The following is a 12,804-nucleotide window of genomic DNA, read 5'->3' as shown; positions in this document are numbered from 1 at the left end:
TCAGGAAATACTAAAGAGAGTGCCTCAATTAAAAAGAATAGAATGTTAATGAGCAACAAGAATTCATACAAAGGTACAAAACTGACTGGTAATAGTAAATACACAAAAAATACAGAATATTATAACACTGTAACTTTGGTGTGTAAACTATTCTTTTTTTTTTTTTTTTTTTTTTTTTTTTTGAGACGGAGTCTCGCTCTGTCGCCCAGGCTGGAGTGCAGTGGCGGGATCTCGGCTCACTGCAAGCTCCGCCTCCCGGGTTCACGCCATTCTCCTGCCTCAGCCTCCCGAGTAGCTGGGACTACAGGCGCCCGCCACTACGCCCGGCTAATTTTTTGTATTTTTAGTAGAGACGGGGTTTCACCGTCTTAGCCGGGATGGTCTCGATCTCCTGACCTCGTGATCCACCCGCCTCGGCCTCCCAAAGTGCTGGGATTACAGGCGTGAGCCACCGCGCCCGGCCAAACTATTCTTATCATAAGTAGAAATATTAAAACAGGAACCAATAAAAAATAATAACTACAACTTTTCAAGACCTAGACAGTATAACAATATATCAATAAAAACAACAAAAGATTAAAAAGTAGGGTAATAAAATGTAGAGTGTTTATGAGTTTTCTCTACATTTTTATGTTTGTTTGTTTATACAGTGTTAAATTATTATTAGCTTAAAATAATGGGTTATAAGATAGTATTTGCAAGTTTCATGGTAACCTTAAATCAAAAAACAGATAACTGACTGACAAAAAATTTAAAAAAAAAACTAAATTGTATCACCAGAGAAAATCATCTTAACTAAAAGAAGAAAAAAGGAAGGAAAGAAGGAAGAGAAGGCCACAAAATGAACAGAAAACAAATAACAATATGGCAAGAATAAGCCCTTATTTGTTAATAATAACATTTAATGTAAAAACAACTAAATTCTCCAATCAAAAGGCATAGAGTGGATTAATGGATTAAAAAAACTATATAATCTATTGCCTACAAGAAACATACTTCACATTTAAAGGCACTCATACATTGCAAATAAACAGATGGTAAAAGATATTCCATGCCAATAAAAACTAAAAAAGAGTGGTAGTAGCTAGACTTATATCAGACAAATTATATTTCAATATAAAAACTATGAGACAAAGAAAGTCATTATATAATGATAAATGGGTCAATTCAGGAAAAGGATATAACAATTGTAAATATATATGTGCTCAATACTACAGCACTCAGATATATATAGCAAATATTATTGAGCCACAGATAGAGATAGGCCCCAATACAGTAATAGGTGGAGACTTAAACGCCACACTTTCAGCATTGGACCTTTCAGACAGAAAATCAACAACAACAGCAACAGCAAAAAAAATTGAACTTAATCCTCACTATAGAACAAAAAATCCTAATAGTTACAGAAAATTTCACCCATCTGCTGCAGAATACACATTTTTCTCCTCAGCAAATAGATCATTCTCAAGGAAAGGTCATATGTTAGTTCAAAAAACAATTCTTAAAACATTCAAAAAAGTCAAAAATTATCAAGCACCTTCTCTCACCACAATGGACTAAAACTAGAAATTAATTACAAGAGGAATTTTGGAAACCATACACTCACATAGAAATTAAACAATATGCTGCTGAATGATCAGTATGTTAATGCAGAAATTAAAAAGAAATTTGAAAAAATTCTTGAAACAAATTATAATGGACACACAACATACTGAGCCCTATGGGATATAGCAATAGCAGTACTTACAGGGAAGTTTATAGCTGTAAGTGCCTACACTAAAAAATGAGAAAAACTTCAAGTAAACAACCTAACGACGCATCTTAAACAACAGGAAAAGCAAGAGCAAACAAAATCCAATATTAGTAGAAGAAAAAGAATAATAATAGAAGATAAATCAATGAAATCAAAACAAAGAAATCAATACAAAAGATCAATGAAATAAAAAGGTTGTTTTGTTAAATTTAAACAAAATTGACAAGCCTTTAGCCAGACTAAGAGAAAAGAGAGAAGACCTGAATAAAACCAGAGATGTAAAAGGAGACATTACAACTGATACCACAGGAATTCAAAAGATGATTAATGGCCATTATTAGCAACTATATGCCAATAAATGGAAAAAGCCAGAAGAAATTGACAAATCCTAGACACATATAGCCTATCAAGTTTAAACCATTAAGAAATCCAAAACCTGAACATATCCATAACAAATAATGAGCTCAAAGCCATAATAAATATCTTCCAGCAGAGAGGAAGTCAAACTATCTCTGTTTGCAGATGACATGACCCTATATCTAAAAAAAAAAACAAACAAAAAACACATTTTTTCAGCCCCGAAGCTTCTGAAGCTGTTAAACAACTTCACCAAAGTCTCAGGACACAAAATCAATGTGCAAAAAGTGCTGGCATTCCTATACATCAACAACAGTTAAGCTGAGAGCCACAAACAGATGCCTATTCACATTTGCCACAAAAAGAATAAAATACCTTGGAATACAGCTAACCAGGGAGGTGAAAAATCTCTACAAGGAGAACTACAAGCCATGGCTCAGAGAAATCAGAGATGACACAAACAAATGGAAAAACATTTTATGCTCATGGATAGAAATAATCAATATCATTAAAATGGTCATCCTGCCTAAAACAATGTATACATTCAATGCTATTCCTATTAAATTATCAATGACATTCTTTACAGAAATAAATTTTTAAAAAAATATTTAAAAATTTATATGGTACCAAAAATAGCCCTAATAGCCAAGGTAATCCTAAACAAAATGAACAAAGGCAGAGGTACCATGCTACCTGACTTCAAACTATACTATACTACAGGATTATAGTAACCAGAATGGCATGGCACTGGTACAGGAACAGACACATAGGCAAATGGAATAGAACAGAGAACCCAGAAATAAGACCACACACCTACAACTCTCTGATTTTTGACAAACCTGACCAAAAAAAAAAAAAAAAAAAAAGCTCTGAAGAAAGGATTTTCTATTCAATAAATGGTGTTGACATAACTGGCATATGCAGAAGATTGAAACTGGACCCCTTCCTTACACTATATACAAAAATAAACTCAAGATGGATTAAAGACTTAAACATAAAACCCAAAACTATAAAATTCCTGGAAGATAACCTAGGCAGTATCATTCCGGATACAGGCGCTGGCAAAAGTTTCATAAAAAAAATTCCAAAAGCAATTGCAACAGAAGCAAAAACTGACGAATGAGATCTAAGTAAATGAAACGGCTGCTTCATAGCAAAAATAAACTATCAACAGAGTAAACAATCTATGGAATGACAGAAAATTTTTGCAAACTCTGTATCTGACAAAGGTCTAATATCCAGCATCTATAATGAACTTAAAAAAAATTACAAAGAAAAAAAACAACTCCATTAAAAAGTGACAAAATACATGAGCAGACACTTTTCAAAAGAAGACATACATGTGGTCAACAATCATATGAAAAGAGCTCAACAACATTGATTGTTAGAGAAATGCAAATCAAATCCACAATGAGATACTATCTCACACCAGTCAGAAAGGCTACAAAAAAGTCAAATAGTAAGAAATCCTGGTGAGGTTGTAGAGAAACAGGAAAACTTATCCACCGGTGGTGAGAGCGTAAATTATTTCAGCCACTGTGGAAGACAGTGTGGCAATTACTCAAAGACCTAAAGACAGAAATAACATTTGACCCAGCAATCCCATTACTGGGAATATATCCAAAGGAATATAAATCATTCTATTATAAAGACACACGCATGCATATGTTCACTGCAGCACTACTCACAATAGCAAAGATATGATATCAACCTAAATGTCAATCAATTACAGACTGGGTAAAGAATATGTGGTACATATACACCATGGAATACTATGCAGCCATAAAAAAGAACAAGATTATGTCTTTTGCAGGAACATGAATTGAGCCTAAGGCCATTATTTTTACCAAAATAACACAGGGCCAGAAAACCAAATACCACATTTTCTCACTTATTAATGAGAGATAAATTATGAGAACACATGGGCACATAGAGGAGAACAACACACACTGGGGTCTCTTGGAGGATGGAGGGTGGGAGGAGAGAGAGGATCAGGAAAAACAACTAATGGGTGCTAGGCTTAAAACCTGGTTGATGAAACAAACTGTGCAACAAATCCCCATGACACAAGTTTACCTATGTAACAAACCTACACTTGTACCCCTGAACTTAAAAGTTAAAAAAAAAAAAAGAAAAAATATATCTTCCAGCAGAAAAATAGCTGAGGACCAGAGGGTTTCACTGCTGACTTCTAACGAATATTTAAGAAAGAACTAATACCAATTCTATTCAAACTATTCTAGAAAATAGAGAAGGAGGGAACACTACAAAACTTATTCTATGAGGCTAATATTACCCTGATACCAAAACCAACAACATATCAGAAAAAGAAAACAGGCCAATATCACTGATGAATATTGATGCAAAAATCTTCAACAAAATATTAGCAAACTGAATTCAACAACACATTGAAAACATCATTCATCATGACCAAGTGGGATTTAACCTAGAGATGCAAAGATGGCTCAATGTATGCAAATCAATCTATGTGATTCATCATATCAACAGAATAAAAGACAAAAATCATATGATTATTTCAATTGATGCTGAAAAATTACTTGATAAATTCAACATTCCTTCATTTAAAAAAATTCTCTAAGAATTGGTTATAGGATGAACATACCTCAATATAATAAAGGGCGTATACAACAGACCTACAGCTAGTATCATACTGAATGGGGAAAAAACGAAAAGTGTTTTCTCTAAGATCTGGAACATGATAAGGAGGACCACTGTCACCAGTGTCATTCAACATAGTACTGGAAGTCCTAGCTAGAGCAATCAGACAAGAGAAAGAAATAAAGGGCATCCAAGTTGAAATGGAAGAAGTAAAATTGTTCTTGTTTGTTAATGATATGATATTATATTTAGAAAAACCTAAAGAGTCCACAAGAAAATGATTAGAACTGATAAACAAATTTAGTAATTTTGTATGTTGATTTCGTATCCAAAATCCAACAACATATCAGAAAAAGAAAACAGGCCAATATCACTGATGAATATTGATTTCATATCCAAAATCAACATACAAAAACCAGTAACATGTTTATGTGCCAACATTAAGGAATCAAGAAATTTATCCCATTTACAATAGCTACAAATAAAATATGATAAATTAATCAAGGAAGGGAAATTCTCTACAATGAACACTATAAAACTTTGATGAAAGAAATTGAAGACACAAAAAATGAAAAGATATTACATGTATGTGGAAAAATAAATATTGTTAAGATATTCATACTCCCAAAGTAATCTACAGATTCAATGCAAACCCCTGTAAAATAATCACGACATTCTTCACATTAATTGAAAAAAAAATTCTAAAACTTATATGGAACCACAAAATACGCAGAATAGCCAAAGCTATCCTAAGCAAAAAAAAACTACACTGGAGAAATCACATTACCTGATGTCAAATTATACTACAGAGCTATACTAACCAAAATAGTATTGTACTGGCATAAAAACAGACATATAGGCCAACGGAACAGAATAGAAAACCCAGAAATAAATTCATACATCTACAGTAAACTCATTTTCAACAAATGTTCCAAGAATATACATTAGGGAAAGGACAGTTTCTTCAATCAATACTTCCTGGAAAACTGAAAACTGGATATCCATATGCAGAAGAATGAAACTAGACCGCTATCTCTTGCCATACACAAAAAAATCAAATCAATGCATATTAAAGACTTAACTCTAAGACTTCAAACTATGAAATTACTAGAACACTTTGGGGAAACTCCTCAGGAAATCTGAGTGTGCAAAAACTCTTTGAGCATTACCCAACAGGCACAGGCAACCAAAGCAAAGATGGAGAAATGAGATCACATTTCATTATTCAGATGATAGGCAGAAATGTATCATGGACATTAGAACTGATTATAGAAGAACAGAAGAACTACCCCAACACAGTGTAAAAAGTCAAAAGCAACATTTTACATTTAAAATACCAAAAATTGATAAAGTATGTTGTTAATATTGCTAATATGTCAAAATTAAAGATTAAAGGTAAGTTTCTTCCTTACATAACAATTCAGGTTTATGACGGATTTCAGGAAAATTTTTTCTTTAAGTGCTCTTTCTATTTCATCAAAACATCAATGTATTATACATTACAGTTTAAGATAAAAGTGTATGAGTGAAATAAATTATTGTTATAAAGAACAGTGGAACAATAGGACAGAAACATCACCAAATATAAAGTGGACAACAAAGAAATGTGTGCATATGCACAATGAGTGCAAATATATTTGGAACATTCAATATATCCTGCAGCATTTTAAAATTTTATCAGCACAAAAAATATATATATTTTTCAACTGATTGCTTAAACTCCATGTTTTTAGAAATATTTTGTCTGTCAACCTTAACTTATCATAGGTTCCCATGTAATCCATGTGTTATAATTTGGCAAAGAAAATGCATATTACATATTATTTACAAATTCATAAACAATGTAAACTTTGTTAGTAATTTAGAAAACATATACAATTTATAGATCAAATTGGAATAGAATACAGAAAAATATAATTATATCTTTAATGGCTGCTCAAACAAAATACTGAAAATGCTTATACTATCAGAGGAGAGAAATGAATAATAAATTCATAGGTAATTTGAAAGCAACTACTTTAAGCCAAATAAATAACTATAGAGTCACATTTATTTTATTATCTAAAGATTGATGACACACAATTTAGAAAAAGCATTCAGATATATAAGATATCCAACTGACTGAATGCCCTTCCTAGATTTCAGATATTTTAAATGTATCAAAAATGTGTTTGAAGCAAACAGTTGATGTTTTATGAGAAGCAAAAAGGTAAACAGTTCTTAAACACAAATCAGCACTGCATTTTAAAATGAAACATGCAACATGGTGATGGTTTGTGTTGATTTCTACTGTACCTTTCTTTAGTCCAGGTATGAAAGCTAAAAAGAAATTTTAATAAAGTTAAACACAATAAATATTTTCTCTTATTTCTACAACATTATATTAGCATACCTAAATAAATATAATTTGTAAGGTATTGCAATATATTTTCTACTTCACTTTACAAAGAATGTGATAATTGAGACACACTAGGACTGCTGCTCCTTCGCATTTGTATTTTGTAATACATTTTTATAGAATTGGACCAAGCCTATGCAATATGTTGGCTTCCTGGGAAGTAATGATTGGTGCTTTCCACAAAGGAAATGTGTTATTAAACGTAACGTTTTGCAGTAACTCAGTAGATTTTCTAGCTTCGTCGCCTGTGATGGCTAAGTACAGTCCTCTACTGACATACCAGTTTCTTTCATGCAACCTCCTACTATAAGTGTAGAGCAAGAAAAGACATTGTTTTTGACTTAACAGGTTGCTCTGTCTCCAAACTTCTGACATATAAAATAGTAATAGGAAAAACCCAAAATCAGCAGGCACTAGCATGAGAATGGCCCAGTAGAATTATTCTTATCATGGTTTAAGAAACTTTTTCTATAATACCATTGTCTTCACCTAAAATTTTATATTATTTCTCACAATTAGGACATAAGGGATTAGAGATTATTGTCATTATTTTCTAGATAAATTCAAGCCTTGCATTATTGACTTTCTTCAAAACACTGTGAAATCATGCTTGACCTGGAACAAGTAGCAAAGTCTATTTTTAAACAAAATAATTGTATGTTTATAAACAGCCAAATATGTATTGATCTGGGCAGATGACTCTCAAGTTTATTCATTACAAAATTTTAAAGCCAATATTAATAAATAATTTCCTGATCACATCTGCATTTTAGGAATTATTTAATAATATCCATTATGGATAAAAGCTTAAAGATAAACATTTTGAATTTGTTAAAAATCTATTTTGAATAAAATTAGAATATTACAAAACTGAAGACATGAAATTCTTAGATGGAATAAAGCAGAATAGAAAAATAGAGGTGAAAGTAATGTTTCTATGCACTAATAAGGATCAATAAAAGAGCATTGTACAACACTTTTAAGTGTCACTGACAAACAGCACATTTATTTCTCATTGCAAGGTGTTTCATCTGTATGCAATGTAATTTAATGGTAATACAAGCTGAAGTATAAAATTTTTTTAAAATAGTGCTTTCATAAAACACTTTGGGGAGGATTGATCTTCTACATAGAATTTTGCAATTCCCCACCCTTTAAATGAGGATTCTACTTCAATGATAAGAAACACACAAACACACATACACACAGAATCACTCTAATTTTGTATTAATTAGAATTCATAATCAACTCGTAATATTTAAGTGTAGAGTTTTCAAATATACAAAACTCTAAAAAGAGAAAGACTGCTTTAAACAGAAAAGTAATAACGTACGTGCTTTTCATTTTTAAAGACTGCAATTTCAGTGTTGTCTAGAGCTTAGTGATAAAAATCCTTTCTAATTTGGTAACTAAAAAGGTCAAAAAAATAAGTAATGTAATGGGTCTGGACTTATTTCTAATAGTATGGAAGGTACAAATAAAAGAAGCAAAACGAGGGACGTGACAACAATAAAAAAGAAAACAAACACATTTTAACAACTTATTCAAGACTTTTAGTTCCCAAATTGAAAAGTGAAAATTGGTTTATAAACCACCAAAGTCAAATATTGATTAATTTTCCTTAAAATTCAGAACAATAAGCATATTTGGCTTAAAACTTTTAAGACTGAATGTGAAGAATTTCTCGAATTCATCACATGAGAAATGGTCCAGAAAAGGAACCATTTTCCCACTGTAAGGGAGTATATATATATATCTATATATATCTTATATACTAACAACCACTAAGAAATGCATTCATTATAATTATTAGGACTTTTTTGTGTAAGCTAAAGGCCCATCTTGAAATGTATCTCTAAATCTCAGAGTAATTTTTAATTAAGGTTTAAAGGTTTATCATTGACATTTTTAAAGCATCAACACTGCCCAAGATGTTTGTGGTAAACAGGTCAGCATAGTCCTTGTCATCTGAAATACTATAGTCTATGTGAATCATTATGACTGAAACTAATTTTTAAAATAAATAATCCAACCGAATTTTATATTATGAATGACGAGGTATATAATATGACTAATGTGTAACTTAAAACATAATTTGTCTAATATGGAAGATGAACATATCTCACACGTTAAGTGTGTTTTTAACAAGAAGATTGTTTTTAGGCTATTAAATATTCTGTGATTAAATTTATTTGTTAATAAATTTAAAAACGATAGTTTAGGCATCATTATTTTTACTTACACAAATTCAATAATAATAAAAAATTATGTTTGCATAAATTCTTACTTTGAGTATAATTGAGTTTTTAACATTATTTTCTGAATTAATGACTAGCAAATATTTTAATTAGTAAACTAAAACAATAGAAATAACTAGGCTTCTTTTACCACAAAATTAAGAAAACATACATTTTAAAGAAAAAAAATCTCCTCTTTGAGTTTCATAAATATTACTAAAATTTATCATGAGAACAATACCAAAACATGCTACATTATCGCATACACACATATTTTAATATCTCCTTTATATTCCTAAAACAAATTTTAAGTACTAAATATGAGCTAGAAATATCTGGCTAAAAGTAAATGAGAATTCCAAATAACTAGATGATGTTTGAAGAGCTTATAGGTCAATAGAACTCACCATAAAATTCACAGTGTTGGCGTAACCTTTGTTGATCAAGTACCATGCATCATTCTATAATTGCCATTTACTTCAATAAAGAAGTAACAGTTGCAGTTTTATTATGCATAAATTTTAAAGTCATGTAATAAAGCTGCATTAATGAAGCCATTTTAAAATAAAAGTGTTATTTCTTGGAATAAATAAGAAGTGAAAACATTTTCAAAGACATTTGTTTAGAAATAATCAGATATCTTTACTACTAGAGTCAATTGAAATATAATATTGCATGTAAGTATCACTATGCATATGCATATATCTCCTCCTTAATTCAGTGAATTACAATGTTTATTATAGTTCCTAATACAAATAAAATCTGATCAGTCAAGATTCAATTCACCTGAAAACTAATGTTTATCCTATTCTTATGGGCTTTTTTTGTTTCTTTAAGAGACATGTTCTCACTCTGTAGCCCAGGCAGGAGTGCAGTGGAAAGATCATAGCTCAGTACAACCCCAAATTCCTGGGCTCTAGCAGTCATCCCATCTCAGCTAGGACTACAGGCCTATGCCACCTATAGCATGGACTAGCATATGCAACCGTGATACAGGCTAACTTTTGAGAACAAGTTTCTCATTTTCTTATGCAAAGCCACACAGTAGTTTATACTGCAGGTCACAGGATATGGCAGAATCAGCATGAAAAAAATGAAATCAGTGTACGGAAGACTGTGGTGTCAAATTAATAAACCAATACCTCTTTGAATAATGCTAATTTTAAAAAATTCTACAAAATATGCAAAAAAGATTCAATTCTTCTTGATGTATAATTCAAATCACCCCAGTGAATCTCCTATTGAGTGCAAAACTAATATACTGTAGCAGTTTTGTACTTGTGTAGATTGCATAGAGTCTGAACTACAAAAATAGTGAAGCTCGAATCAAATTTTCTATTCAAATTGTGTGTAAGGTTAAGGCTACTGTATTAGTTTGTTCTCATGCTGCTATAAAGAACTGCCCAAGACTGGGTAATTTATAAAGGAAAGAGGTTTAATTGACTCACTGTTCCACAGAGCTGGAAAGGCCCCATGAAACTTACCATCATGGTGGAAGGAAAAGCAAACACACACTTCTTCACATGGCAGGAGGAAGGAGAAGTGTCAAGCAAAGGGGGAAAAGCCCCTTATAAAACCATCAGATCTCTTGAGAACTCACTCGTTATCATAAGAACAGTATGGGGGTAACTGTCCCCATGATTCAATTACCTCCTACCAGGTCCCTCCTGTGACATGTGGGGATTATGGGGACTATAATTCAAGATCAGATTTGGGTGGGGACACAGCCAAACCATATGAGCTACAAACAGAGAAGCTGCAATGTGATTAACATAATGAGCATCTTATTTGCAGTGAAATAAGTGTTGCAAATATAAAATTAATTATGTATCCCTGTATATTAAAGTTTCTATCCATATTCCTCTGTGCCTTGAGTTTCAATAAAAATTAGGTTACTACTGGATCAAAGAAATATAAATTTGAAAATTGACAACAGCGAAAGTCATAATGTTGCCTTTATTATAGAGGTAACTAAAACCTTAGGAATCGAAACATTTTCACAAAATATGCAATTACCATTTTCTACATTAACAGAATTTTGCTTGACTGAACTCATGCAGTGCCATAATACCAGATGGCTTATTTTCTTTCATAGCCTAGAGTTGTACTTTTTTTTCCATTTCTGAAATTAACTCATTTTTCCTATTCTTCACAAAATCTTCCTAGTCCACAAGCTATTGGCTCTATTTTCTGCCCTTTTATTCAAGGGAAATCTTTGCAAAGGCTGTAATGGATACCACCTTCAAGTCTCATTTTTTTATGTTGACAGTGTTTACGCGCTTCAAAGAGCACAGAGTTACAACTTAAATTTTATCTAGAATAAAACGATTAGAGAAGTCAAGGACCAGAGCCCTTAGACAGTCATCCGATTCAGCATCCTCAATATACACATGAAGAATGACATCAAGAGAAATAAAATGACTTAGATCTAAGACTAACACAACAAGTTAGAGACATAAGTAGAATTAGAATTCATGTTTTCATTACCAAGGAACTCACATACTATTAAATGCCACCATTTACAGATCATTTCCAAGATATGAAAACAATACATATATCCAAAACTATTTGCTCAAGGAAAACTTTTATTGCAGGGAGTATCAACAGATCAGTGCTTTTAGATTATACATTTGGAAAATTCCAATTTAGATGAATACTAAATGCAATTTACCCCCTCATGTTCACATCAACTGACAAGGGCAGAATAAGAGAAAATCATATTTTAAGAAATAAAATCTTGCTTTGGCAGATCCAACAAAATGATAATGCCTATTGAAAAATACTAATTAGCAATTTAACTTAGTCCTTAAGAGAAATAGAATATAATTGTTCCTTTTTGCTAAAAATATAAGGCAAAAATTTCCACCTCAAAATCTAGCCTTAATATTTTAAATTGTTCATGGCTATATAAAGAGAATCTAGCCAATCATAATAACTCCTTTTGGTAGCTAAAATTAAAAGAATAATTCTGAGATATACAGAACTGGACATCTTACAGAAAAATTTATATATGATCACATTATTTTTTCATTTGGTTTTCTCCAGGCCATCTGACTTCACTAATTACATTGTCAAACTATCCTAACAACACAAATGTCAATTTAAAATCCTTCTCAGTTAGTTTGGATATTTAAGATAACAAATTCTTTTTTTAAAGAATCTTTTTAAAGATTTTGCTGACTCCCAGAAAGAACTCAAGAAATATGAATTATGGAGGACTCAACTTTTCTCAAAAATAAATGTGGGAATAAAAATTGTTTCATGGTCCATTGAAAGTTCCTACTAAGGCACTGGTTACACTGCTTTGGGAGGTACATGAAGCAGTTATGATAATATACAAATTTTAATGACGATGAGAAATTCCCAAAGCAAAATTTTGAGGGCTGGATCCATTATTTTCTTCAGTTTGGCAAAGAAAATACTAAGAAATCAGTATTTCT

At 31.6% G+C, this 12,804-nt stretch overlaps 1 protein-coding gene across 13 annotated transcripts in view; it reads right to left on the bottom strand.

Moving 5' to 3' along the window:
• PCDH11X (protocadherin 11 X-linked) overlaps positions 1–12,804 on the bottom strand; it is an 843,856-nt gene that overhangs the window by 147,884 nt on the left and 683,168 nt on the right. For 9 of the 13 annotated variants that reach the window (XM_011530911.3, NM_032968.5, XM_011530910.1 and 6 more), the window contains one exon: positions 7,025–7,048. The exons of the other annotated variants lie outside the window; for them this stretch is intronic. In XM_011530911.3, coding sequence (XP_011529213.1) covers positions 7,025–7,048 — 24 coding nt within the window. The remainder of the gene's footprint in view (positions 1–7,024; positions 7,049–12,804) is intronic. 13 annotated transcript variants of the gene reach the window in all.

This window comes from Homo sapiens, chromosome X, assembly GCF_000001405.40.
Source record: "Homo sapiens chromosome X, GRCh38.p14 Primary Assembly".
NCBI lineage: Eukaryota > Metazoa > Chordata > Mammalia > Primates > Hominidae > Homo > Homo sapiens.
The sequence above is the reverse complement of the archived record's forward strand: the minus strand, read 5'-3'. Positions and strand labels throughout refer to the sequence as shown.